Source organism: Homo sapiens, chromosome 20 (assembly GCF_000001405.40).
Source record: "Homo sapiens chromosome 20, GRCh38.p14 Primary Assembly".
In the NCBI taxonomy this organism is placed as follows: domain Eukaryota; kingdom Metazoa; phylum Chordata; class Mammalia; order Primates; family Hominidae; genus Homo; species Homo sapiens.
The window spans coordinates 28,577,456-28,604,622 of record NC_000020.11 but is presented as its reverse complement, the minus strand read 5'-3'; the positions used below and the strand labels follow the sequence as shown (position 1 = coordinate 28,604,622).

Below are 27,167 nucleotides of genomic sequence, written 5' to 3'. Positions count from 1 at the left end.
TAGAGGCTGCGCAAGAAAGAAAGAAATCCAGAAATATGGCATAAGCCATCCCTTATTTATTTCCCCATGCGACCAGCCAACAGCTTCTTCACCTAGTCCCTGCTTCAAGCTGACTTTCTGTCTACTTCTCTATCGGAAATGGAGCTTCCCTAAAGACTGCCTCAATGTCAGTTACCCACCGGCCTTTTTTCCATCTTGTGCTCCTAAACTTCTATGATATTAAATGATATTACCCTTTCTAGAAATTCTCCTTAGCTTTGATTTTATACTTTTACTCTAACTCTGTTTCACTCCTTCTTTTATAGCCTTTCTTTTCTCTATCCCTTTACTGCAGACATGTTGTACGGCTTTGTTCTTGACCTTCTGATCTCTCCATATTCATTCCCTCAGAGCAAGTATCCATTTTCTTGGTGTCGGCCTTCCTGACTATCTGATTATTACCATCATATAACGATGTTGGTGATGAGCATAGCTAACATATCCTAGGCATTTTCCATGTAGGTTATAATAAGCACCCTATATAATTCTTACCATTTAATTCTTCCACCCTAAATGGTACTATTACTAACCACATTGTATGAGGTGAGGAAACTGAGATTTTCATCAAAACCGCGGAAAGCAAACGTGAGGAGCCCCTGTGTGTCTCCTTTGTTAATGCCTCTGGACATCATGGCATGTGGATTGCCCTGGAATGGGGATTAGGAAGTGCAGCACTGTGATAACACCAGTAAATATGTTATGATAGCGGGTAAGGCCGCTCATCTCTGCACATTGAGATGGTTTTGTTTCTGAGTCAGGTTTGAGATGAGCCAATCCTGACTCCATGGTACCACCAGGGATCACGAATTTAATAAGATCTTCGTGGATGCTTGGAACCCAACTGGTCTCTGTTTTCTACTTTAGGGAAAGAGCCACAGCTTGAGTGGAGTGGGGTGGTTTTGGTGTCACATACGCGATCAATAATACCCACCGTTTTGGTGTCACATACGCGATGAATAATACCCACCGCTGCAGAGGAATCACCGTGGACTACTCCTCGTTTCATCCCATGCTCTTGCGATGGATCCCTCTCACCTGTTTACTGATTTCATTCAAATTCTTCAGCGAAAACAGGACCCCGACTTGCCTTCTCTATCCTGGTTCCCATCACTCTGCTTTACAGGCCTGGCCTGCTTGCGGCTCCCTCCACGCCTCCGCCCTGTTTCCTCCATCAGACAGGACTAGCTTCCTCTATCTCTATCGGGCAAAAGCCTGCCCAGCGTTCAAGACCCTCCACAGATGCCGCCTCCACGATTAGCCTTCTTCCTGACCCCTGAGCTTGTAACACGCGCCACCATAACTCTCCACCTCAGCCCACATTCCCACAGCACTCGCGACGTCCGCGGCCCTCAACATGGTGCTTCATTCTATTTTAGGGTATTTCCTGCTTGTTGCCTACACACACAGTCGCACGAGGCACAGCCCCGAGTGACCCGCGCACGAGTGGCCCGCGCTTCCAGCCGCGCCGCCGCAGGCCAACGAAGGCAGCCTAAGCCGCTTCCCGCCCCCGCGGGGACCGTCGCCAGCCCGCAGCTCTAGCGGTAGGCCGTTTCACAGCGCGCCCGGCAGCCCCGCCACCGCCAGTACCGGCGCCTCGGGCGGACTTTACTCCCCTCGGGGAGGCACGAATCCTCAGGGGCTCCTCGAGAGGGAGCCAGGGAGCAGCTGCCTGCGGCACCTTTCGGCCCTCTGAGGCCGCCGTAGCTCCCCAGCAGAAACTCGGAAGTGGAAATCTCAGCCATTCAGCGTTTGGGTCAAGATGAAGGCGGGTTCTGGACAGACGTACCCAGTCAGGGAATGTTTACTTTGCCTCCACTTCTGTTCCTCCCCGCCCTGGTGCTGCTCCGGGTCACATACTCGTCCTGAGCCGGCTTCAGCCTCTCCGCGCAGAAGTCTCCCGGAGCCGACTTCTGAGAGTCGAGTACTCCTATGTGAAGACTACCAAGCTCGTGTTCAAGGGAACCAAGGCGAAGAGGTGGGTCCTGCAGCTCTGGCGGGAGCCTTCTCAGTTCTTTTCGGACGCACTCCACCCCCGCGAATCCGGTGGAAGTCGTGCCGCGGAGAGCTGGCTTTGTGGCATCCCAGGCTTCGCCCTGGCGCCTGTCCGGGCTGGATGGAGGCCAGATAGCGGTTCCTGGCGCCTGTGCAGAGAGGGGCAGCCTCCCGCGCGGACGACCCTGGAAACAGGATAGACGGGCGGGTGACCCGTGGCCCCGTACCCACGAGTTTGGGTCCCCTGAGGCATCTCTCCAGGCCTCTGCCTGGTGAGTCTGCGTTAGTCTGATCTTGTAGCTCATGATGATAACTTCCTTTATTAGGGATTATTCTTTTCTCCATTGTCTCTTCCTGGAAAAGTTATTGATTAATTTTTTCTAAGCTAATATGTAGAGTGAAATCAGGATGAATCACACAGTGGTTGAGGTGTATATGGGCTTTGATAGGGATATGGGTTGGAACCTGCACTCTGTCATTTACTAATTTTGTAATTTGTGGCAAATTGATTAATATGTCTGAACTTCCATTTACTCATTAAGAGATCAAATATCTTTGAACCTCCGTTTACACATTTATACTTTCAGACCATTTTTTATACCTTTAGAATACTGTGAGGATTAAATGAGAGAACATATATGCAGTAAATAAATTGAGCCAAATGTCAGGAGGAGGTCGTAGTGGTAATTTATTAGCTCTTTAGGAGAAAAATACCTGTGCACTCATATCCCCGCTTCTTTTTTAACTGGCAGATTTGCCCGAGGTTGACTGTACATACAAATATTGAGCATTTCCTCCTGGTCTCCGTGATAAACAGAGGTTTTGATATTTTTAGGCGAGATGGAAAGAAAGTATCAAGGAGTGAGCTGAAGCCACTGCCCTTGAGAACCCTCTCGAGGAGTCTGGGCTCATGAGGATGCCAGAATAAGTGGCAGGTATATCCTGAATGAATGTGAGATTTTTACTCTGTGAATTTCCTGTGAGGAGTGGTGAGTTATCTTCTGAAAACTTTATGATGATAATGCAGACAAGAGTGTCTTAAGATTATCGTAATAATCATAATTAATGCTTGTATAGCACTTTCAGTGTGCCAAGAAATATTTGTAGGCACTTTGCACATTAACTTTTTTCAAGTCGCTCTTGGTTTTTTATTTTTTTATTACGATGTCATTCATAATTATAAAATTCACCCTTTTGTACAGTGGTTTTTAGTATATATTCAAGAGGTTCACCACTGTCTAGTTTCTCAGTGTTTTCGTCATCTCAGAAGGAAATCTCTTCCTACCCATTAGAGCAGTCACATCCCATCCTCCCCCTCTCCTAGTCCTTGGCAACCACTAGTCTGCTATCTATGTGAAATTGCCTATTCTGAATATTTCCTAAGAAATCATGCAACATGTGGCCTTTTGTATCTGGCTTCTTTCACTTATAACATTCTTGAGGTCCATCATTGTTGTAGCACTTGTTCCTTTTTATGGCTGCGTAGTATTCCATTGTATGGATGTAACATTTTGTTCATCCATTCATCAGTTGATGAACATTTAGGTTGTTTCCCCTTTTTGACTATTGTGACTAATGCTAGTGTGAATATTCTTATGTAAGTATTTTTGTGGGAGTAAGTTTTCATTTCCCTTGGGTATACATACTTAGGAGTAAAATTGCTGGGTCATATGGTAACTCTTTAACTTTTTGAGGAACGCCAAACTGTTTCCTGTAGATGCTGCACCATTTTACATTTCCACCAGCAATGTGTGAAGATACATATTACCTCTTAATCCTCACAATAGCCTTAAGAGTTAAGTTATTATCCTAACTTTTTAAGTGGGGAAACTGACTCACAGAGAGATTCAGTACTTTTTCCAAAAATTGCAGAGCTAAGAAGTGACAGAATCAGGATTTAAAATCTGGAAGTGTGGCTCTACAATCTGCTTTGAACTTTAACATAATATGTACAAAGCCTGAAGCAAATTCTCAGCGCTGTATTTAAGAGAGCATAGCAATGTAAGTCTTCCTAAATCAATAATTTATAAATGAAACAGCTTAAAAGACTTCCAAGTTTCAATCTTATGATATTTATTTATCACACAAATCAATATACCTAAACTCATCTATATAAATTATGTCCTGTAGTAAGAAGAAAAAGAACAAAGATAAGAAAAGAAAAAGAGAAGAAGATGAAGAAACCCAGCTTGATATGTTGGTGAGTCAGTTTTCAATGCTTTATTCTGAAAAAAGTTAACATTTCTTGAGATCTCATTGAAAATATTTTCCTAGTTAGAAATTTATGATGTATTCATATTTGTCTTAAAGTGCTTAAATATTACCTACAGTTGCAAATTCCATTTATTCTTTAGCACAGTAGATGCTACTGATGCCTTTACTTCATTATCAGAACAGAGCACAGGAGAGAAGAATTACAACTCTCTGACTTAGTAGGCACCATTAGACTGCTTAATAGCCGGAGATTCTGATACATAATTTTAAAGGCTTAATGTAAATGTTATTCAACCAAATATATTTTACAAGTTATTTTCTTTGAACATGTATACATTTTAGTTGTAGAAGTCAGTTGTCTCTTAAACGAAGTATCTTCACAGGAAAAATCATTATTTTGTGAACTCTGAAATGAATGAAAATTTTAAATACAATATCAGGGTAGCCTGTAAATGATACTGGAAATAAATTGACCCAAACACACTTAACCAGCCTGTTTTCCATTTAGCTGTTTCCATACTTTTTTTTCTCTTTTAAAACTTGGTAAGTTGCATTTTGAATCTTCATAAATTATGGTAGCTTAAAAAATATATAAAATATGGAATGGTATAAAGCTAATATTCTGGAAGAATCATTGTTTTTGAAATGGCAAATCAACAATTCTAAAATTAGGGTAAATATCTAGGGTAGATATGTAGATGTGGAATTGCTGTGTCAAAGGATAGGTGAATGTTTAACTATATAAGAAACTGCCAAAAATTTTCTAAAGTGGTTGCGATATTTTACTCTCCCACCAAGAATGAATTAGTTCTCCAGTTACATCCTTGCCAAGAGTTGATGGTGTTATCAGTCTTTTCTCTCAGTCTGAGTTTTTCCCAGTCTGAGTTTCTTAATGGTGGTTTTCGGATGGACACCTTTTTTTTTTTTTTTTTTTTTTTTTTTTTTGAGATGGAGTCTCGCTCTGTTGCCCAGGCTGGAGGGCAGTGGCGCGATCTCGGTTCACTGCAAGCTCCACCTCCCAGGTTCACGCCATTCTCCTGCCTCAGCCTCCCAAGTGGCTGGGACTACAGGCACCTGCCACAACGCCCAGCTAATTTTTTGTGTTTTTAGTAGTGACAGGGTTTCACCATGTTAGCCAGGATGGTCAGAAGCTTTTAATTTTTATAAATCTTAGTTTATTTTTTTTCTTTTATGGTTACTGCCTTATCTCTTTGACCTAAGAGATCTTTGCTTACCCCAAAATCAGGAAAATATTCTACATTGTCTTTTAGAGGCATCATAGTTTTAATTTTTACATTAAATCTGTCACTAATCTCAAATTAATTTTTGGCATGGTGTGAGTTTGGTTTCAAGATTTACTTTTTTTTTTTAAATTTAACATCTTGATAGCCATTTGTGCCAGCACCACTGGTGTTTCCTTTTTCCATTAATCCAGTTTCGTATCTTCATAAAAAATCAATTAACTTTCTATGTATTGGTCTATTTCTGGACTCTATTCTATCAATTGTCTGTTTTTCTTTTGGTATATTTCTCTTGATTGCTATAATTTCATGAAGTCTTGAGATAAGGTAGTGTGTGTCCACCAACTTTGTACTTACTAACTATTAGTTTATTAATTTCTACAGTGAAGCCTGTTGGATTTTCTCAGAGAATAGTATCGAGTCCAGATAATTTAGGGGAGAATCAACATCTTAATATTGGGCCTCAATATTTCATAATTTTCAATGTAGCAGTCTTGCATGCCTGTTTAAAAATTTATTCTTAAGTATTTTATAATTTTACACTACTGTCAGTAGAACTTTTGAATTTGATTTTCCAGTTGTTTGCTGTCAGTATGTAGATATACAATTGATTTTTGTATAGTGACTTTGTAGTCTGATAAGTCTGTTTCACTTCTTACTTCTAATGATTTGTTTATATAGAAAACTAAGAAATTTGCAATTATGTTTCCTGTGACTATCATTTTACCTCTTTCTTCCTAATCCTTATGTCTTGTCTTGCTTTTTATTGGTTTATTATACTGTTCAGGACTTCCATAGTGTTGAACAGAAGTCACGAGAATGGGCGTAATTGCATTGTTTCCAAGCTTAGGCAGAAAACTTTTAGTAGTCCACCATATGGTATGATGTCTGTAGGATCTGCAGAGAAAAACTTTATCAAAATGAGGACTTTGTTTCTTGGGAGTTTTTATCATAACGATGTTTAATGCTGTCCAGTGCCTCTTTCTGTAATCTCTTGAGATGATTATACAACTTTCTTCATTCTGCCATTGAATAACATTGGTTTCATTTTCAACTTTTAAACTAACTTTACATCCCTGAGATAAACCCCACTTGGTTGTGGTGCGTTGTCTTTTGGAATATTGCTAGATTTGATTTCTAGGTGTTCGTTTTTCTTCTTTATAAGATTTCTATATTGGTGTTGATGGGAGATATTGGACTTTTGTATCCTTTTCTTGTAATGGCTTTATTTGATTTTGGTGTCAAGGTGATATTGGGTGTCATAAAATTAGATGGGAAGTGCTGTCTCCTTCCCTGTTTTTGGAAATAGCTGTGTAAGATCGGTATGATTTCTTCTTTAGATGTTTGATAGGATTTACCAGTGAAGTCATCTGAACCTAGAGGGTTTTGTTTGGTTTGGTTTTAGATTTTGAGGGAAAATTAAGATTTTTTAAGAGATATTTTCAGATTTTTCTGTTGTCAGCTTTGGTAATTTGTGTCTTTTAGGAAAATTTCATTTCATCCAAGTTGCTGGATTTATTGGCATAAAATTGTTCAGAATATTCCTTTAATATCCTTTTAATGTCTGTAGAATCTAATCTGTATTGCAGTCTCTTCATATTGGTAATTTTTGTTTTTCCATTTTTTCCTGGATCAGTCAGTCTAGCTGGAGGTTTATCAATTCTTTATAAGATCATTTATTTTAGATCATTAATGATCTTTTAGTACAGGGGTATTCAATCTTTTAGCTTCCCTGGGCCACAATGGAAGGAGAATTGTCTTGGGCCACACATAGAATACACTAACGATAAGCTGATGAGCCAAAAAATAAAAAAAGCAAAAAAGTCTCATAATGTGTCAAGAAAGTTTATGAATTTGTGTTGGGCTGCATTCAAAGCTGGCTTGGGCCACATGCAGCCCTCAGGTTGGACAAGCTTGTTTCAACATTACTTATTTTTTCTTTTTTTCATGTTTTATTTCATTTATTTTCAGTCTTTTTTTTTTCCTCCCTTTAACTTATTTTCAGTTTACTTTGCTCTTGTTTTATTGCTTCTTAAGAAGGGAGTTAGATCTCCTCATTCCATGTTAGTTTTAGTTATAGTCAACACATTTTGTTTTCATTTTCATTCCATTCAAAATATCTTCTAGTTTTCCTTGTGATTTTTCTTTTCATGGACACTTGAGTTATTTAAAAGTGTACTGTTTTTAATTTCTACTACATAGAGATTTATAGGTATGATATTGTTGCTGATTTCTAATTCACTTATAGTATAGTTGGAGAACATACTTTCTTAGCGAATTTCCATGTACACTAGAAAAGGATGTGTATTCTGCAGATGTTGGTTCAGGGTTTTTTTGTTGTTTGTTTTTTTTTTTTTTTTTTTTTTTTTGAGATGAAGTCTTGCTCTGTTGCCCAGCAGGCTGGAGTGCAGTGGCGTGATCTTGGCTCACTGCAGCCTCCGCCTCCCAGGTTCAAGTGATTCTCCTGGCTCAGCCTCCAGAGGAGCTGGAATTACAGGCACCTGCCACCATGCCTGGCTAATTTTTTTTTTTATTTTTAATAGAGGCAGGATTTCACCACGTTGGCCAAGCTGGTCTCAAACTCCTGACCTCAGGGGATTCGCCCACCTCGGCCTCCCAAAGTGCTGGGATTACGGGCATGAGCTGTGGCGCCTGGTAGTTCAGTGTTTTTTAGATGTCAGTTATATCAACTGGTGGAGCTTGTGACTATGGACATCTTCTGTGTCCTTACTGATTTTTCACTCATCCTACAATGTATTGAGAGTTATGTTAAAATCTCCAGCTGTAATTCTAGATCTGTCTACTTGAGCAGTTTTTGCTTAAAGTATTTTGAGGCTGTCATGTGTACACATTTAGGATTGTTAAGTCTTCCTTATAAATTCAGTCTTTCATTTTCATAACATTTTAACCTTTATTTCTGTTAAATGTCTTGATGCCTAGTTAAATTATTTGACCACCCTTTTGCTCCTGTCAAGCCTGGGCCTTTGTTAGTTTGTGCTTATTTATTAGGTTTTTGCCTGTAGACTTAGACAGTGACTCTTACTCTAGGAAAGTTTCATCCTCATGGGCCTCAGCCACATGTTCTAGGTATATTTGGTGAGTTCTCTCCACTCTGCTATGTCCCAAATTTGTGTGATCTCTGGCATCTCCAGTCAGCCCTCAGAAGTGCCAGCCACTCTGCATGGGCCTTGTGGAGCCTGCCTACTGTATGCACTCCCCCCAGCCCTTGGCCCCAGACCTGCAGAGAACTTTTGCATACTCTTTTGAGGCCTCACCCTCTTCTCCAGTACCTTATTCTATAAACTCCAAACATGTTAGCACTGCAAGACTCTCAGCTTAGTGACAGTGACATTGCCTCATTTTTGGAGTTCTCTACCTCTCTCTGCGTCATCAAGAAACTGCCATTGGGCAGAAAACAGAAGTGTGTGTTAGATTTGCCTCCTGTGTTTTCCTGTTCTCAAATATCACAGTCCTGTTCTGCCTGTGTTCCAATCCCCAAAAACAGTTCTCTCAAATATTCTGTCCAGTTTCAGTTTTCTCATTGGTCATGGTGGGAGGGCAAGTCCATCTTGGCTGGAAGAGGAAGTCCTTCTGCGTCTTTTTCTCTTTGTCCTTCCACCTTCTTTTGCATTGTGGATTTTCTAAACTCGCCGTAAAAATAAGCATGTGCCTATTTGTGAAGGGAAAGAAAAAAACCTTTTAATTTTTTAAAGCTGTTCTGTTGGTTCCTCACAAGGATCTGAAGGGATTGGTAAACAGGATGAAAGAAATTCTGTTTTTCACATGGAGAATACCATGTGTGACATTAATAAAAATGAGCATGTCTGTAAGCAAATAGTTTCACTGAGCTCTGCTAGATTCAGAAGCAATTGACTTACAACATCGTAGTTTGCAAAACACAGATTTGATTTACCCAGGAACTAAAGCTAAGTAAGCTATGGGTTAATAGAAGGTCTGTGAAGGGTACTTAGACTACAGTAAGATTTGGGAATAAAATTCCATTTCCGAATCTAAGATATATCATTCCTTTGTGCCAAGCACATAATGAAGGTAGAGATTTAAGGGGGCCCTTAGCACAGAAGCACTGGGTTAGTCAGAAGGTGAGGTGAGCTGTCTCACAGCCTTGATGCTAGAATGAGGGTGCCCTGGGAGTATCTTATCAGCCATGACACTGGTGCATCAGGCCATTTTTTTTTTTTTTTGAGACAGGCTCTTGCTTTGTTGCTCAGGCTGGAGTGCAGTGACGTGATCATGGCCCAGTGCACCCTCGACCTTGTAGGCTCAAGCCATCCTCTCACCTCGGACTCCCGAGTAACTGGGACCACAGACTTGTACCACCATACCCAGCTAATTTCTTAATTTTTTTATAGAGATAGGGGTCTCCTTTTGTTGCCTAGGCTGATTTTGAACTCCTGGGCTTGAGTGATTCTTCTGCTTCCACCTCTCAAAGTGCTGGATTACAGGCATGCCAGACGTATGGAAACATTCTCAACTATGTGAAAATATGTGAAAAGCTTTGTTATGCATTGTGAGACAACAACACAGCGGGAATGTTTCACCATCTGCCTAAGGTTTAAAAGGAAATAACTTTAAGCATGTGTCTAAATAGCAAGTAATGTTTTAGAGCGGATTCTCTTAAATTCAGCTTGGGCGTCTGCAGCATATACACAGCTTGAGCTGTAACCTGACATAGAGACAGGCAACTTCAGTGCCCACTGTTCTTAGGATCCACTGCTTTTTCACAGCTAAAACCCCCGAGTGGCACCGTTAAGTATTATGTTATGTTACTTTAGTCATTAAACATATGAGCATACCTCCAAAGGTTGAATGTAGGCCACTTGCACAAAGTAGGCAGAATGCTCACATTTAATTCTTGATGATACTGTGTTTAGCTTTCTTATTCTTTGAAATCTCATTGAGAAGAAATACTGGCATCTGCTCAAAGTAATTTCTTTTTCAGTTGACAATATTATAAGTAATATTATTGTATCATTTTCCTACTTGGACAGAGGGTGAAAATTTTGAGGAGCTTCTCTGCCAGAAATTTCTTCTTCATTTGCAAAACATTAATGAGATATTATATTTAAATGATTTTATTTAATATTAAGTGTACTTGGTGAACGTGGCATAGAACATACAAAATAAAACTAATTTAAAATTATTAACTATTACATTTATAAGAAAGACTTGTTAATCATAACACTGTTCATAATGATTCTGAATAAAGCATTATTTCCTTTACTGAAAACAATTGTAGCTATAACTCAACCACCTAAATTGTCATTAGTTTTATTGCTTTCCAATCGTCTGTAGCTGAAATTTTAATTTTGACTAATTTTCTTTTTCTCCATTGGTTTTGTGTGTGTGTGGAGGTAAAATATACAGAGTATAGAATTTGCCAATTTTTCTATTTTTACGTGTACACTTCAGTGGCATTTAAATACATGCACCATTTTACCTTCCCACCAGCATTGCAGAGGGTTTCAGTTTCTCCACATCCTGCCCAACATTTGTTTTTCTGGTTTTCTTGGTTTCTGTTTTCTGTTTGTTTTGATAATAGCATTCTAATGGGTGTGAAGTGGCATTGCATTATGGTTTTGATTTATATTTCCCTAGTGACTAGTGATGTTGAGCGTCTTTTCGAGTGCTTATTGACCATTTGTATATCATCTTTGGAGGAATGTCCGTGTATATCCTTTGCCCAGTTTTGAATTGTGGTATTTGTCTTTTTGGAGTTCTCTATATAGTCTGGATATTAATTCCTTATAATGTATGTAGTTTACAAATATTGTCTCCATTCTCTGGGTTACCTTTTACTCTGTTGACAGTGGTTCTTGATGCACAAAAGTTTTTAATTCTGATGAAGTCCAGTTTGTCTGTGTTTTCTTTTGTTGCCTGTGCCTTTGATGTTCTATATAAGAAATCATTGCCAAATTCATTGTCATGAAGCTTTTCCCATTTTCTTCTAAAAGTTTTCTAACTTTAGCTCTTACATTTAGTTCTTTGGTCTATGTTAAGTTACTTTTTGTATTTGGTGTTAGATAAGGGTCCAACTTCATTTTAGCTAAAATTTTATGTATTTTAAAATTGATTATGAAAAGCATGAAATGTTTAGTTGAATAGAAAATTTTGTGCAGTGGAATTAACTGAATCTTTAAAACCTTTTTATTATGGAAATATCCAAACTAATCCATACATAGAAGAATATAATGAGTCCCCCATGTGCCCAGGCCCCAGCATTAATTATCAATATTTTGCTAATCTCGTTTCATTTCATACACACTCCCACACACAATTTTTCCTAGAAAATTTTAAGTAAAATCACAGATATTGCATCATTTTACCCATAAGCACATAAATGTACATTTCTTAACATGGTATGTCTTTCTCTCATCACCTGTTTTGTTCTTTACTTTTATACGTTATACTATGTCATTATCAGACCTTGTAAAATTAACAAGAATTCCTTAATATGTCATATCCAGTTAATGATTGACTCATTTCTACTCTAGTTAAAGTACAATTTAGGAGGAGGTTTGAGGATATTTTTTAACATTAAGATATAAATTTTTATGACAACTGCTAAAATAATTGTTGCTAGAGTCTAACATTTCTATTGGCAAATTGGAAATTAGTATACATAGACATAGATTCTGCTCATTTTACTTTCAATCTAAAATTGTAGTTAAGATTACTGGCCAGGTGCGGTGGCTCACACCTGTAATCCTAGCACTTTGGGAGGCAGAGGCGGGTGGATCACAAGGTCAGGAGTTCAAGACCAGCCTGGCCAATGTGGTGAAACCCTGTCTCTACTAAAAATACAAAAAAAATTATTCGGGCATGGTGGCAGGCTCTTGTAACCCCAGCTACTCGGGAAGCTGAGGCAGAGAATTGTTTGAACCCAGGAGGCGGAGGTCGCAGTGAGCCAAGATCGCGTCACTGCACTCCAGCCTGGGCGACAGAGCGAGACTCCGTCTCAAAAAAAAAAAAAGATTACTATGCTAGAAAGTCTTCCTGTAGAGGCATTTTTAAGAAGCATTATGATAGGCATTGCCTCTGGAAAGCAGGCATGAATAGATGGCTGGGGTCTATCATGAGAGAGACCGTTCTCCATATATCACTTTGTACCTTCACATGTTGCCTTTTGTTTTGTTTTGGTCTTTTTTTGAGACAGGACCTTGTTCTGTCACTCAGGCTAGAGTGCAGTGGCATGATCATAGCTCACTATAACCTTGAACTCCTGGGCTCAAGTGATCCTCTTTCCCAGCTCCCCGAGTAGCTGGGTTTGCTGTATGTTGCTATTTTGTATTTTAAAAACCTAATCCTGACTGTGCTGGTAGTTGCATGAATATGTGCACATACATGCAAACAAGTACATGTAAAACTGGTGAAATCTGAATAAGCTTCATGGATTATATCAGTGTCAGTTTCCTGATTCTAACAACGTATGATACTTATGCAAGATGTCATCGAGACAAAGAGAGTAAAGGATATGTGAGATCTTCGTATTATTTCTTACGACTGCAAAATAAAAAGTTTTTAAAACTAAGTTATAATAAAAAAGAACTCTGTGTCAAAACTAAAATATAAAGTAGAAATATCAATTTTATTTTTTAGGAATCTGGTGGACAGTAACAAACTTTGGTGAAATTTCAGGAACCATAGCCATTGAAATGGATGAGGGAACCTATATACATGCACTCGATAATGGTCTTTTTACCCTGGGAGCTCCACACAAAGAAGGTTTGTGTCTGGAAGGGAAGATCCTGCCACAAGTGTAGATTTTAGGACATTCATTCACTTAGGCCAGGCTCTAACTAGTCTCAAACATTTTCCAAAGGAATGGAACCATTGCATTTTACTCTTCCATTTTTTTTAATTCCTTAATATTTACCAGCCATTGGCAAGTCCCTCTTTCTAATATAAGCATTTGAAAACATTCCGTGTAGTTCCAGAAGAGTATCTTTGGAAATAATAAGAATATGAATAATTAAAATAGTAAGTGGAAGGAAAAAAGAAAACCTATTTGAGTCAAACATGTTTGAATTACTTTTTTATTCAGAGCTATTACCAAAACTAACCTGGGTGCATTTAACAATTTGAAGTTTCCTCATTTTCCTTGCCCATTAGAGGAAGCACTAATGAGATACGAAGTAATTAGAAGATAAAAAGCAGTATCATTTGGTCAGCAAGGCCATCCATTGAATAAATGAAAGCATTTAGCTTTTTTAAATAAGTGCTTATTTACGACTGTATTTTAAAACATAAAGAGAAGCTATCTCGAAAGTTATTAAATAAACATTATATCACCCTGTCTTACTCAGTGTATAAAATTAGCACTGTAGTTAAAAGAAGGTAAAATAGATCTTGATTCCAAAGATACAGTATTACAGTGACATCAGTATATCTGAATATTCTTACATTTAATTGCAGAAGAAAATAGCCACATTTTTAAAGCAAAATAATGTCTTTATATTTATAGCAAATGTCAAATTTATTTTCAAATGTTTTTTCTCCAATAGTTGATGAGGGCCCTAGTCCTCCAGAGCAGTTTTCGGCTGTCAAATTATCTGATTCCAGGTGAGCTTAAGTTGTAATATAATTAGTAACCAGTGATTTTAAAAATTTAATTGTATTCATTAAAAATTTTACTATCTGTCTTAAGCCCACGGTAATTTAGATATAAAAAATGAAATAGCTTTTTTGAGAAGTAGATTTTGTGATCTACTTTTAGTGGATTTCCTATCAATATATAATGCTAGGCTGGAAAAATGATATGTAAGTTAAAAAATGAAGATTAATAATTTCACACACCAAATAAGATAGATTATAAAATATATCAAATAGTACAAAACCTGGTTCACTGTTGGTATGATATTTAAACTCACTGTTTCGAAGTCTAAAGACAAACAGGAAGACTAAAAAAAAGGAATATTTGTTGAAACCAGCAGAGAATGTTACAGTATCATAATGACCAAAATAATATTTTTACTCACTATTGTTACAGTCATTTTATAAAGTAACCTTTTTTATTCTCACCTTGTGCAGAAGTATAGAATGATTCTTTGGGTAAAAGATACTGAAAGTGAATTTACATATTTTAGTAATTGGTTACATCAACATGATAATGATTTCTGTTATACAATCATTAACGTATAAAGGAGTAAAAGTCAATTCTGGCATCCGAGGAGATTCTTGGTAAGGTAAAAGAAATCATAATTTTAAAAAATCACATTAAGATGATTATTTCTACTCTTTCTTTGAAAGTCTGATAAGTAGGGTGAAAGACAAAGAATAAAAGCAGAGGAAGAAAAAATTCAATAGTTTTAAACTGCTTTACAATTATAAACAGAAAAGGATTATAAAGAAAATCAACTGACAAATGAGGAAAATATTTGCAACAATCTTAATAGGCAGTGAGTTCTTACTGTTCATATGTATCTTGTATAGAATTCATAGCACTGAAGACCCCAGTAGAAAAATTGCGAACAATCAGATCTGAATAGAAAAATGGACAAGGGACATTACCAGATAATCTAAAAAGTAAAAAGGAAAGGAAAAGAAAAACAATTGTTATTCTAGTTAACTACTAAAATGCAAATTAATAGGATACTGTTTTTTTCATATCAGGTTTTCGAGTATTTTTTTAGAGTCATAATGTTTAAAAAAAAATCCATGATACAAAACATACTCTGTTAATTTGAGGTAAGAATGTAAATGGAAGCAGCATTTTCTGGAAAACAGTTTGATGACATAGTTTTAGTAATTTATTATTGAAGTTTATAACTAAAGAGATATAATTGAAGAATGATGAATTTTGAAAATATTTGTTATGTAATATATAAGGTACAATGTTTATATTAAAAAAGCAAAATATAAAACTAAATTTAAATCTGCAGTGTCCAATATGGCAACAACCAGTCACATGTAGCCTTTTTTTTTTTTTTTTTTTGAAGGCACATAGTCTCACTCTGTCACCCAGGCTGGAGGGCAGTGGTGTGATCATAGCTCACTATAACCTCAAATTTCTGGGCTCAAACACTCCTCCTGCATCAGCCTCCCAAGTAGCTGGTATTACATGTGCACACCACCATGCCCAACTAACTTCTTAAATTTTTTGTAGAGATGGGGTCTCACTATGTTGTCCAGGCTGATCTTGAACTTCTTGCCTCAAGCAATTCTCCCATTGCCTTCCCAAAGCACAGAGATTACAGGAGTGAGTCACCACTCAGCCACATGCATCTTTTGAACACTTGAAATATGTCCAGTCTGAAATTTTAGATATGTACACACCCACACACATACACATGTCCTGTTTTGATGCCCTATAATTAATTTTCTCTCAGTTTTTAACTTTTATCTATCTTATTAATGTACAGAATCACCCTGAAATCTGGCTATGGAAAATATCTTGGTATAAATTCAGATGAACTTGTTGTTGGGCGTTCAGATGCAATTGGACCAAGAGAACAATGGGAACCAGTCTTTAAAATTGTAAGTGCTGTTATTGTTTATAAAAACTCCCTGTCAATTTAACAGAAAGTCTGTAACAGTCAATCATAATATATTTAAAAAGAAAAAGTAGGATGCAATAGTATAATACATTAAATAGGAATAAATCAGTGAGAACATAAAGCCTTAAAGAGATCTCAAAATATAGTGCAACAAAAATAGCATTAGTACTTTTGCCCACAATTATTTCTGTATACCCTTAGTGCCTAGATATGGATCTAATTTCCATTGAAGAACCAGTCAATTTTAGGTCACAGAGTAGGAAAACAGAATTGTTCCTAAGTATCTTCTTTGTAGCAGAAATCATGGATGCTTTCAGAAACATTACAGACTGTAAGTGAACAGTGGAGCTAGCTAAGACCAAGTTGTGACAATTTGCATATAAAATATAAATAATAATAGTTCATTGAAGTAAATTATCTCTAAAAGACTTTCAGTTCATAAGCTTAAAATAGTGTATGAAAAGATTTAATATAAGAAAAAAGATAGTATACTAATTCTTAATTTTAGTAAGTAGTTGTAGTATATGGATGTTTTGTTGATACAGAATACATAATTTCCTTTTTCTGTGTGAGAAGTAAAGATTGAACAAAAATATGTGAGTGCTAAACTGTCTTTAAAAAGTAGATAGCTATATCAAAAACAGTAAGGACCAGTGGGCACCACACAGAACAAGCAAATAGAAGATAAGCTCAGCCTTTGAGTAGCAGCTTTGGTAGTATACAATAATGAACTGAAAATAGGAACTCAGCAGTGTTTTCTAAGATGACAGATTAAACAAACATCCCACCAGAAAGAGGTAATCACTTAGACTAATTTCCTCATCCCCTAGGATAAAATCTTAAGTCAGTGACTTGAAAACTATTTTGACCCAATCCATTGAGAAATGCATTTTTACATTGCAGCCCAGCACACACATATGTATAACTGAAGCAAGAGTTGCACTTAACAATATTTACTTATCCATGTGTTATGCACTTTGATATTTATTATTCTCTTTTACCCTTCCGCTGTGTATCTGTGTGTTTTCCTTCCCCCCCCCCCCCCACCCAATACCATTCAGGAAACACTACATTGATTTCATTACCTGCTAATGTGTTGCAACCCCTTTGAGATGATCCTACTAGTTACGATGAGATGCTTCTAATAAAAGTTACACCAGTAGAAAATGCCAATATTTCATAAGGCCAGGATGATGACTTAGATAGTACTAATAATACAACACTTTAGGAAAGTTCATTTCATTTTATTTTTAGGAAGGACACTAAGTTTCACAAATTTAAATTTAAATGAAAGAGGGTCTTAAAACTCTCTTGCAAAAAGGACTCAGCTGAATAACCTGTGACACAGGTTTAAATCGCCTTGGACCCCAGCACCATGTTCCAGGGCTCACCCAGAGCCATCCAGATGAGAGACCACCCAGCCCTTGTGACTTGACTAAGAAATTAAATCGATGTTATCAGCACATTTTTAACTGGATGTGATATAAGGTTAACATATTTTGTAATCATTGTATTTATAACTATTTTGTCTAAATGTTATGGTATTCCAAGTTTTCCAAAAGAATCAACCAAATACAAGTTATAAATAAATGTTATATTTGTTACAGGAGTTAAGCTAACCAAATTTATAACCCAGATTTAGATACACAAGAAAATCAGTTTTTAAAGTTTTGTTTAATAGAAAGCAGTGTAATACATCAAACATTAAACAACTAAAAATGTATATGAATATTTATTTTCACACACAAAAGTCCCTCAGACATTGATTCTTAAATTAAAAACACCAAAGGCATTGTATATACCTTTTCATGTTTTCTAATTGTGAAGAAAATAAATTTTACTTAAAATGCTAATATTTGAATAAAGTATGCATTCATAATTATGTTCTCATCTTTAAAGTTAATTTTTCAAACAGAACTAAATCAGTTTTATCTTCAGTAGGTCTTTTAGAAAGGAAGCAATCCTACCTCATCTAATTAGAATAGTACTACTAGGAAGATATGCTACAAATGTTTATTGTGGTAATCTTTGAATAGTAAAATGAAAGGTGATTTTGGTTTCCTTTTCTATATGTTCTTTTATTATATTTTTCAGGTTTTTCTCTAAGTTCTTTTCTGTGATTTTTAAATCAGGGAGGAAAAATTAATTCAGTGTAAACACTTAATGTTTCTTCTACAAGAAGTATCCTCATGGCTATTTTGTTATTTTGTTTCACTTAGGGGAAAATGGCTTTGTCGACCTCAAATAGCTGCTTTATTAGATACAGTGAAGCAGAGGACATAGAAGCAAAAAGTAAAACAGCAGGAGAAGAAGAAATGATCAAGGTAATGATGACATTTTATACAGATGACTGCATTCACACATGCGATGTGACTGTATCTCTTTAAAATGTTAAGTCATCATTTACAGTCACTTTAAAGATTTAGTTAATGGCTTTTTATAATGTGGTGTTTCAAATAGAGTCATTTTAAATTATAAATCCCATAGTTGATGGCTTGTTTATACAATGTGGTAGAGAAATCAGTGCATCTAGGAGCTACCTTGCCATTATCTCCATGGATTAGTATCTTTTTCTGGTAGTTCCACGTGCTCTTTTTAAGCTTTCGTTTTCTTGTTTTCTTGCTTGTACTTTAAAATCTAATTTTTAAAATAGATAACGTGTACACGTGGTCCAACATTTTTAAATAAAAGCATATGAAGATGAAGACATATGCCTGCCATGCATCTTACTCACCTGTTTCCCACCTCCTTTTCCTCTTTCCCTTTGTTTTTTTATAGCCTCCTAAAATTTCTTTATAAACATATGAATATATTTATAATTTTCAACTATTTTACACTAAAGACAGCCTCCTCTATAGTCTTCTCGACTTTGATTTTTTTTCCTTAAAATTGTGTCTTGGAGAGTTTTCTACTATTAGTTTGAATGTAGAAAGTTTTCTCTTTTTCTTGCTTTTCCTCTCTTTCTCTCTCTCTCTTTTTTAACAGCCACATAATATTCCATTTTAGGGATGTACCTTAATTTATTTAGTCTTTTGTAGATGGAAATTTAGGCTGTTTCCAGTCTTTTGTTCTTATAAACAGTGCTGCAGTACATAATATTGAATATGCATCAATTTGTAGATGTGCGGGTGGACTTGAAGATAAATTTCCAGAAGCAGAATTGCCAGGTTGGGGTATACACGTTTGTATTTATGTAATGCTTGAGCTTCTGTGATGATAATCACTCTATGAAACATAAAAAATCATAGCAGAACTTCTGGGGCCTTAGCCCTTACATTTTAAAGATATTTTTATTAATAGTACCCATCTTCTTTGCATTAGGAGAAACATGAATCACATAAAACATGATTTTATTTTATTTTTAAAATTTGTGTGCATCACTAAGCTGGAAATAAAAGCTCCTTATTCCAGGCTAAATTCCCTCATCCGTAGTCAGACGCGTTAGCTATTGCACCAGTAGCCTGTGGCCTCCCTAATCCTACTCTTTGTTTTACATCATTGTAAAAGTTATACAGACATCTTCATTTCAAGGTGAAATTCTAAATAATACTGTTAATATAACCTAGACTAATCAGGTAGTTAACTGGAATGTGATGAAAACATTTAAGGCTTAATTTTTTAGACTTACAAAAGCCACTGATCTTTAATGATAAACATATACCAGGATGTGTCTAAAGAATAACTCCCCCCTTCTTGACACATGGCTTTTCTGTGTCTTGGCATTCCATCGCAGTACTGAGCATCCTGAACGTTGCTTTGTTTGTCTCTGTTGGGAGTCACAGGTTGCATCCAGTCTGACCCAGGTTTGCTCTGTAAGGCATTGTGGGGGCCAGAGTGGAAGGCTCTAAGAGAGGGGGCAAATGTCTTTTCTAAAATGCCCTTCGTTCTTATAATTAGAGCATAAAAATTAATGTTACATTTTTCTCTACTACCAGTGTAATTTAAAAGCATCTATCAATTCTCTGTACGTGCTTCATGTTAGATTTCTGGTCATATGTTTGATTTTCTTTTTAGAATAGTCTTGATTTCAGATAATTTCAAATCTAAAGCTCAAACAATTTCAATCTAAAATGTAGGTTTTTCTTACAGTTAGAGAAGTGAAATGTTATATTTTTTCGTTGCATGCATCGGGCACATGTGTTGTAGTCTTGAATTTCCATAATGCTCCTGTGAGGTGGATGTGAGCTCAGCCTTACAGACAGGAAGACAGCCTCTGACCCTCCTTACATCCTCGTGGTTTTTGTCAGTCAGTTCATGGAAATCACAGTGATTTCAAGGTGTGGTAAGACAGGATGTGTACCCAGGCCCAGCTGACTCCAGAGGCCACTCTCCGTATTTCATAGCACATTGCTTCTCAGGAAACAGGTCATTGAGGAAATGAAGATGGGTTTGTGATTACATTTAATTTTATTTATTTATATTTTATTGTATCATGTGTAAATTATTTTACATCTGGATATCATCACAAAAGTGTTATTGAAGGCAACAATTGCAAGTATATGTGCAGTGCTTTGCACTTATACAAAGATACAAAGATACACAAAGATTGAGTTTTTCACTATTTAAAGCAATTTTCAGATGAAATACAAAGTTTTCTGGGTCTCTTTGTTTAGTCAAGTACTTGGAAGCTCTGAACAGTGATTATTTAGGACTCTTTTCATACCATTTAATTGCAGGCTCTCCTAATCTCTGTCAGACCTTCACCTTTATGACCTTGCCTTATCTACCAGAACACAGATCCCTCTTACTAAAGGTAACATTGTGTTACAGGCCCTAGCAGGGAATGTTTTCAGGTCTGGGACCCCTCTAATCAAAACTGTCACAAAGATGTCATTGGCACAAACATGTTATTTGTCATCACTTTCTAAGCAGCCCTGGAACTGGACTCTGGCCACAGAGATCATTTAGGAGACATGAGTCCTTACCATTGCCAATTGCCTGTTCTGTAGACAATCCTAATTGTTGAATGCAGATCAATTAACTAATGATATGTGATAGTAAACATCTGTCCAAACTTAGGAGAATATAAGAAGCCAGTAAAAGAGGTGGGTTCCAATTAATTAAAAACAAGTTGTGTAATGTTAAAAGTTTTAATACTTTGATAATAGTCTGTGCAATGTAAAATAGCTATTAAGCTTTCAGTCTGATCAAATGAACACTTGTCTACTAGGGATAATTTGATCCTAGTGTATTCACTTGGAGGACAAAATTAAATGAATGATTTCTTTATTGCCTAGCAGGATCTGATGTGTAAAATGTTTCTGAAATAATTTTTTCTGTAGTGTTTCTGACACAAGGGCTGCGGAGGAAGCATATGATAGCACTTACTCATATAGATTATATATATGAATTAAAAACACATAGCCAGAACCTGTCTTTTTCTGAATATAGTTGCTCAGTTAATTTTTTCTTCTGCATAAGAAATCATCTCAAATATTCTTATGTGATACGTAAAGTGGGGAAGGTGGAAGATAAACATATAACCCATTGGATTCTCTTTTCCAATATCTAGATTAGATCCTGTGCTGAAAGAGAAACCAAGAAAAAAGATGACATTCCAGAAGAAGACAAAGGAAATATAAAACAATGTGAAATCAATTACGTGTGTGTATGCTTTTCCTTTTAGACCTACAGATTTGACAGTGAAGTGCTTCTCAAAGTGCTTTCAAAATAAATTACCTAATTAGCTGGGGATGGTGGTGCATGCCTGTAGGCCCAGCTACTTGGGAGGCTGAGACAGGAGGATTGTTTGAGCCCAGGAGTTCAAGGCTGCAGTGAGCTCTGATCACCACTGCATTCCAGCCTGGGTGACAGAGCAAGATCCCGTCTGAAAAAATAAAAACTGATGGACAAGAAGAAGCAACACGATGTAGCCTCTAGGACAGAGCACTGAGCTAAATTCTTTTCTTTTCTTGAGGGTTCAGTTTTCCTAATCATCCTACCAGCTCCCAAAGGTACTCAGTCGGGTTAGTCAACCTCTCTATTCATTCATAGAATGGGCGTGATGCCAGTCAAAGGCTGTTCTCTGGCTAGGACACAGGGGACTCCAGCCAGCATGCCCTAATAGAAGTGGGGCTTTGTGCTACCCAGTCAATGAGTGGCCCTCCTCTTGAGAGGTCACAAAGTTCATCTTGTTGTTCAAAAGCTCCAGCTTATTAAAAAAAATGTACAATTAGACTTTTTTTTTTTCTCCCCCAAGACGGAGTCTCGCTCTGTCCCCCAGATTGTAGTGCTGTGCCATGATCTCAGCTCATCGCAACCTCCGCCTCCCAGGTTCATGTGATTCTCCTGCCTCAGCCTCCCGAGTAGCTGGGACTACAGGCACAAGCCACTGCCCTCGGCCAATTTTTGTATTTTTAGTAGAGACGGGGTTTCACCATGTTGGCCAGGCTGTTCTCGAACTCCTGACCTCAAGTGATCTGCCTGCCTTGGCCTCCCAAAGTGCTGGGATTGCAGGCGTGAGCCACTGCGCCTGCCCTACAATTAGACTTTTTTAATAAGTGAAAAAGAAATTAACAGTATTTATAAATTTAATAGTAAATATGTATAATCAGAGTTTGAGGTATTTTTCAATGAAGACATTTTCTTTGCAGAAAGAAATTTCAGAGCTTCCAAGACCACAAACTTAAAATAAGTAAAGAAGAGAGTAAAATTCTTAAAAAGGCTCAGAAAGATGGATTTTTGCATGAAACGCTTCTGGACAGGTAGCTATTTACTTATTTTCACTATTTTTCAGTAGCCAATAGAAATGGCATGTAGAAAAGCTATATTCTCTTAAATTACTGTAGTTTTCACATTTTTGTCTTTATTTATAATTTATGAGTGTGGCAATATTACCTAGAGAGGACATCATGAGTTTGGGAAAAGACTGTCAAGAAAGAATATCTAAAAATTATAACCGATTCTAAGTATATACTTTAAGAAATTCAGGTTTGACTGTATCTACTTCATAAATTTATCATTATCTTTTTATAACTATTAGAACCAGAGTTAGAAAGAAGCAGTTTGACTAATACAAAAATTATGTGGATTCTGTTAGAGTAGTTCAGGTTCCTTAAAATAAGCATATATCAACTAAAAAACTAAGTATAAAAGCTAAATAAGTGAAATTGAAGCAGTTTTATTGTAAGATTTGGAAGAGTGCAGGATGTTTATCATAGCACATTATTAATATTTATTATTCTTCCTATGTAGATAAGTGATGGCCTAGATTTACAACATAGAAAAACAGGTAGAGACGTTTAGCTGTGAGTGTACAAGCATAAATCAGTTAAGTGCCAGATGTTGATAATCACCAGCTGCTCATTCAAGTCCTATGTTGCAAAGTTACTCTTACCCTTTTTTTACATTACTTGATAAAGGCAATGTTTAATTATGTATTTCCTGTTAACTAGCTGGTAGAGTTCATACCTAAAGTCAGTAAATAATGTTAAGAATTTTTTCCAGCTGAGCAAATGAATATGTGTCTAGTTGTAAGAAATCAAGAAGAGGATATAAAATATAATCAGGATATGGACTCTAAAACGGAATAAGCTCTGTGTCCTGTAACTTTTTTCACTTGTAATAATACAGCATTCTCACCCTGTTAAATGGAAATTTAGAGCACCCTTAAATTCCAGAATAATTAAAATTGCTATTTGGATTGAAAAGCCCTTAGGCAACATTTATTGAATATTAGGAAATAACTTTTATAAGATTAGAATCCATTTTTTATGGAAACCCAATTTAAAAGTATACATGTTTTAATATAAGTGTTGTGGTAATACAATAACCAAAATTGAACACACAGTTTTAAAGCTTTTTATATTTAGTAGCAGTTGAATATATATGGCATGTTTTACATAGATTAATTTTACTATTTTTCTTTATTTAAAAAAGAGAACCAAATTGAAAGCCGACAGATACTGCAGATGACTGGGATTTTTGTTTCTGTCTTACCTTTTTGTGTTTTTTTTCTGAATAAAATATTCAGAGGAAATGCTTTTACAGAGTTCTTGAGTTGTTGTGAAATTATTGTTTAGCTAGTAGCTAGTATAACCAGGATTAAACAAGTTTAATCAGGATTCTTCATGGATGTACTTTTTAGCTAACTACAGTTTTTCACATGGAAATGAAACTTACAGTACACATTTAACGTACCACAGAATTTTTTTCTGTATTTCCTGTCCTGAAGCATGAAGTGTACTAGAAACCAACTCTTCCTGCGCTACTTGTGGAATCTTTCTTAATGGATCATAATCTTACTTTACTTTAAACAATAGATGCTTAATCAGTGCCTTTCATAGGAAGTTAGAAACTCCCAATCCAATCAACAAGGCTTTGATTCTACCTCCTAAGTACTGCCCAGATCACAGACAATCCAAATATCAGAACTAGGGGGCTGGACAGAGAGGACAAATCATCTATTAGGGAGTGGGACAGAAAGTGGAAACACTATAAAGGAGCAAGTAGGCTCAGAACAGAGGGGAGAGTAGTACTGGGGAAACTCCCTACTGAGGACAGGTTTGCCACAGTGGGTATGTATGTGATGCTTTTGTCCTCGTGGGCTGGAATGGAAGCTGATAAAGAAGTTCAGACGCTACGTGTTGCTTAGGTCTGCTTTGTTGAAGCCTGTCTCTTTCAGAGTACCTAAACACAATATTCCCGTGGCATCTAATCCCAGTGAGTGCTCCAAATCCAGGCTGTGTATCAGATGCCACGGGAAATTCTGCCTCAGGACTGAGGTTGGTTCAAGCATCTGGATGATGTCAAAAGTCCACGTTGTGTGCTGGCCTAACCTGAAAGAACCTATCTAGTTCTAGCCTTAAATTCCTTCTGTCACCAAATCTAGAGTTACATGGCATCTGTACAAGCTAGGTAGCTGAGGCATGGGATCAGCCCTATAAAGGAGCTTTTGGAGCTTTTTTTGTAGGCCTAGCTTCAACTTGGCACTCCAGTTCCAATAGCTGGACTTTCTCTCGTCGTGTGTTCTGATCCTTGGATTGGGAACAAAGTAACCACTCTGATCCCACAAAGCAGTGGTTCCGGTTCCCAACTGGTGACTATTTTGCCTCCGAGGGGACATTTTTGGTTTTCACAACTGGAATACGGTGTTAGAGAGTAGAGGCTAGGGATGCTGCAAAGCATGCGGCAGAATCCTGTTCTGCCCAGAATGCTAACAGTGTCAAGGTTATGGAGCCTTCCCACCCAAGGGCTTGGTCTATTCCTTGCTTTTGCCAGCTCCCTAACCCTTAAACACAACAGTTCAAATCTATATGCATAAGCATCTCCTAGGAACCTGCACGTTTCCAATATCGACTACTGAGACCCATCCGTAGAGATGCAGGCTTAGGAGGTCTAGGATTGGGCTCAAAATTTGCATTTTAACAAGTACTCCAGGTCATTCTGAGCAAGTGATACAAACCACAGAATGAGGAACACCACCTTCAAGAGACTGAATCTTGCTTCACAACACTAGCTTGGTACCTGAGACCATCTGCCTGCTGACTGGCTTTCCTGGCACAAACATTCTGCATGTAGGCACAGTGTGTTCTTGGACTCCATGTCAACCCGTTCACCCTCATGTTCCCTTGGTTCCTGTCCCCAGTCCAGCGAGCAGAACTGATTACAGATCTTGACAACAGAAGATACAGATTTAAAATAACTTGCCTGTTCCCGTGGACTTTATCCACTAGTGAAGCAGGACAAGTGGACAAGGGGAGAGGGCAGGTGTGGGCTCCTTCCCTATTCCTCCCATTCCACTTTATACAAATCCCAGCTAGACAACTGGGAGAGCAACGGAGGTTAAGAATGACTGCATCTAAATATTGTCATCTGGTCCACTCTTCTTCCATCTTGTACACAAGGATATCATGAGTTTTGTTTAAAGCACTACTGAAACCAAGATAAACTCTGGCTTAGCATGCCCCTGATGGATCAGTCTAGTAATCTTATCAAAACCAAGATTACCTAAAAGCATTAACCAAAGGAAAATCTCCCTCACCCCAACCTATGACTGCTCACATTTTTCAGATTGAATCATTTCAATTGTATTTTAAGGTTCATTGACTCTTTTCCACCTCCAAGCTGCTCCTGAACACAACTGATTATTATTTTTTAATTTTGAAAACGTTCTCACTTCTAGAATTTCCACTTGAGCCTTTGTTATTATTGTAGTTTCTTCTTCTCTGCTGTGATTTCCATCCATTTATTTTACGGGTTTTTGGGGTTTTGATTTTAGTAAGAATTACAATAACTAACTACTTTAAAAATCCACACTAATTCCAACATCTGGGTCATCTCGAGGTTAGTCTCTATTGATTGCCTTTTTCTTTGAATATATTTCTTTATATGTTTGATATAATGGGATTGAATTCTGAAGATTGTAAAACTAGATTTTGTTTTGTTCCTCTGAATATTTTGATAATTTTTTGTTGTATTTTGTTTGATTTTTTTTCTATTGTATACTTTACAATATATTTTCCTCCAATGGTTTTAACATTTCTATTTCTCAAAATATTTATGTTTATGTTAAAAATTATACAAAGTAGCTTGGTGCAGTGGCTTCCATCTGTAATCCCAGAAGTTTTAGAGGCCAAGGCAGGAGGGTCACTCGAGCCCAGGAGCTGGAAACCAGCCTAGACAACAGGACAAGACCCTGTCTCCACAAAGAATTATTAGGGTGGTGCAAAAAGTAATTGCAGGTTTTGCCATTACTTTCAAGGGCAAAACCCGCAATTACTCTTGCACCAACCTGCTAAAAAATAAGCTGGGTATGGTGGTGGCATGTGCCTGTGGTCTCAGCTATTTGGGAAGTAAAGGCAGAGGTGGGAGGATTGCTTGAGACCAGGAGTTCCAGACCAGCCGGAGACCCTGTCTCTATGAGAAAAAAAAAAAAAAAATTAGCTGGGCCCATGTACCTGTGATACTAGCTACTTGGGAGGGAAAGGCAGAGGTGCCAGAATCACTTGAGCCCAGAAGTTCAAGGCTGCAGGGCACTGTGATTGTGCCACTGCACCCCAGCCTGGGTGATGGAGCACGACCCTGACTCCAAATAATAATAATAATTACAAAAAGGAAAGACCTAGAACACCAGGTTATGGTTAAGTATTCTAAAATTGAGCTGACTTACTCTGTTCTCTATAAAACAGGTTGCCACAGAAAATATAGCATGCCCAGTTAATTTGAA

The 27,167-nt window shown here is 37.2% G+C and overlaps 1 pseudogene across 1 annotated transcript, besides 4 other annotated features; it reads left to right on the top strand.

Moving 5' to 3' along the window:
• Positions 1 to 27,167: part of a centromere (Linear centromere model derived predominantly from reads generated in PMID: 17803354. This region does not represent an actual centromere sequence, as long-range ordering of repeats and unmapped WGS contigs is not provided by the model. For details of model production, see http://arxiv.org/abs/1307.0035.) that runs on past both edges of the window.
• Positions 1,445 to 1,504: a silencer, noted in NCBI's record as "silent region_12755". NCBI's record gives its function as "represses an Ori minimal core promoter by ATAC-STARR-seq in GM12878 lymphoblastoid cells {active_cell/tissue: GM12878}" and the evidence as "EXISTENCE:reporter gene assay evidence [ECO:0000049][PMID:35858748]".
• Positions 1,715 to 1,854: an enhancer, noted in NCBI's record as "active region_17682". NCBI's record gives its function as "activates an Ori minimal core promoter by ATAC-STARR-seq in GM12878 lymphoblastoid cells {active_cell/tissue: GM12878}" and the evidence as "EXISTENCE:reporter gene assay evidence [ECO:0000049][PMID:35858748]".
• FRG1CP (FSHD region gene 1 family member C, pseudogene) lies at positions 1,958 to 23,990 on the top strand (annotated as a pseudogene). The gene is made up of 9 exons (NR_132315.1): positions 1,958 to 2,014; positions 4,162 to 4,231; positions 13,104 to 13,229; positions 14,009 to 14,066; positions 15,866 to 15,980; positions 18,220 to 18,324; positions 21,513 to 21,604; positions 22,594 to 22,704; positions 23,879 to 23,990. The product of NR_132315.1 is annotated as an FSHD region gene 1 family member C, pseudogene (transcript).
• Positions 2,055 to 2,114: an enhancer, noted in NCBI's record as "active region_17681". NCBI's record gives its function as "activates an Ori minimal core promoter by ATAC-STARR-seq in GM12878 lymphoblastoid cells {active_cell/tissue: GM12878}" and the evidence as "EXISTENCE:reporter gene assay evidence [ECO:0000049][PMID:35858748]".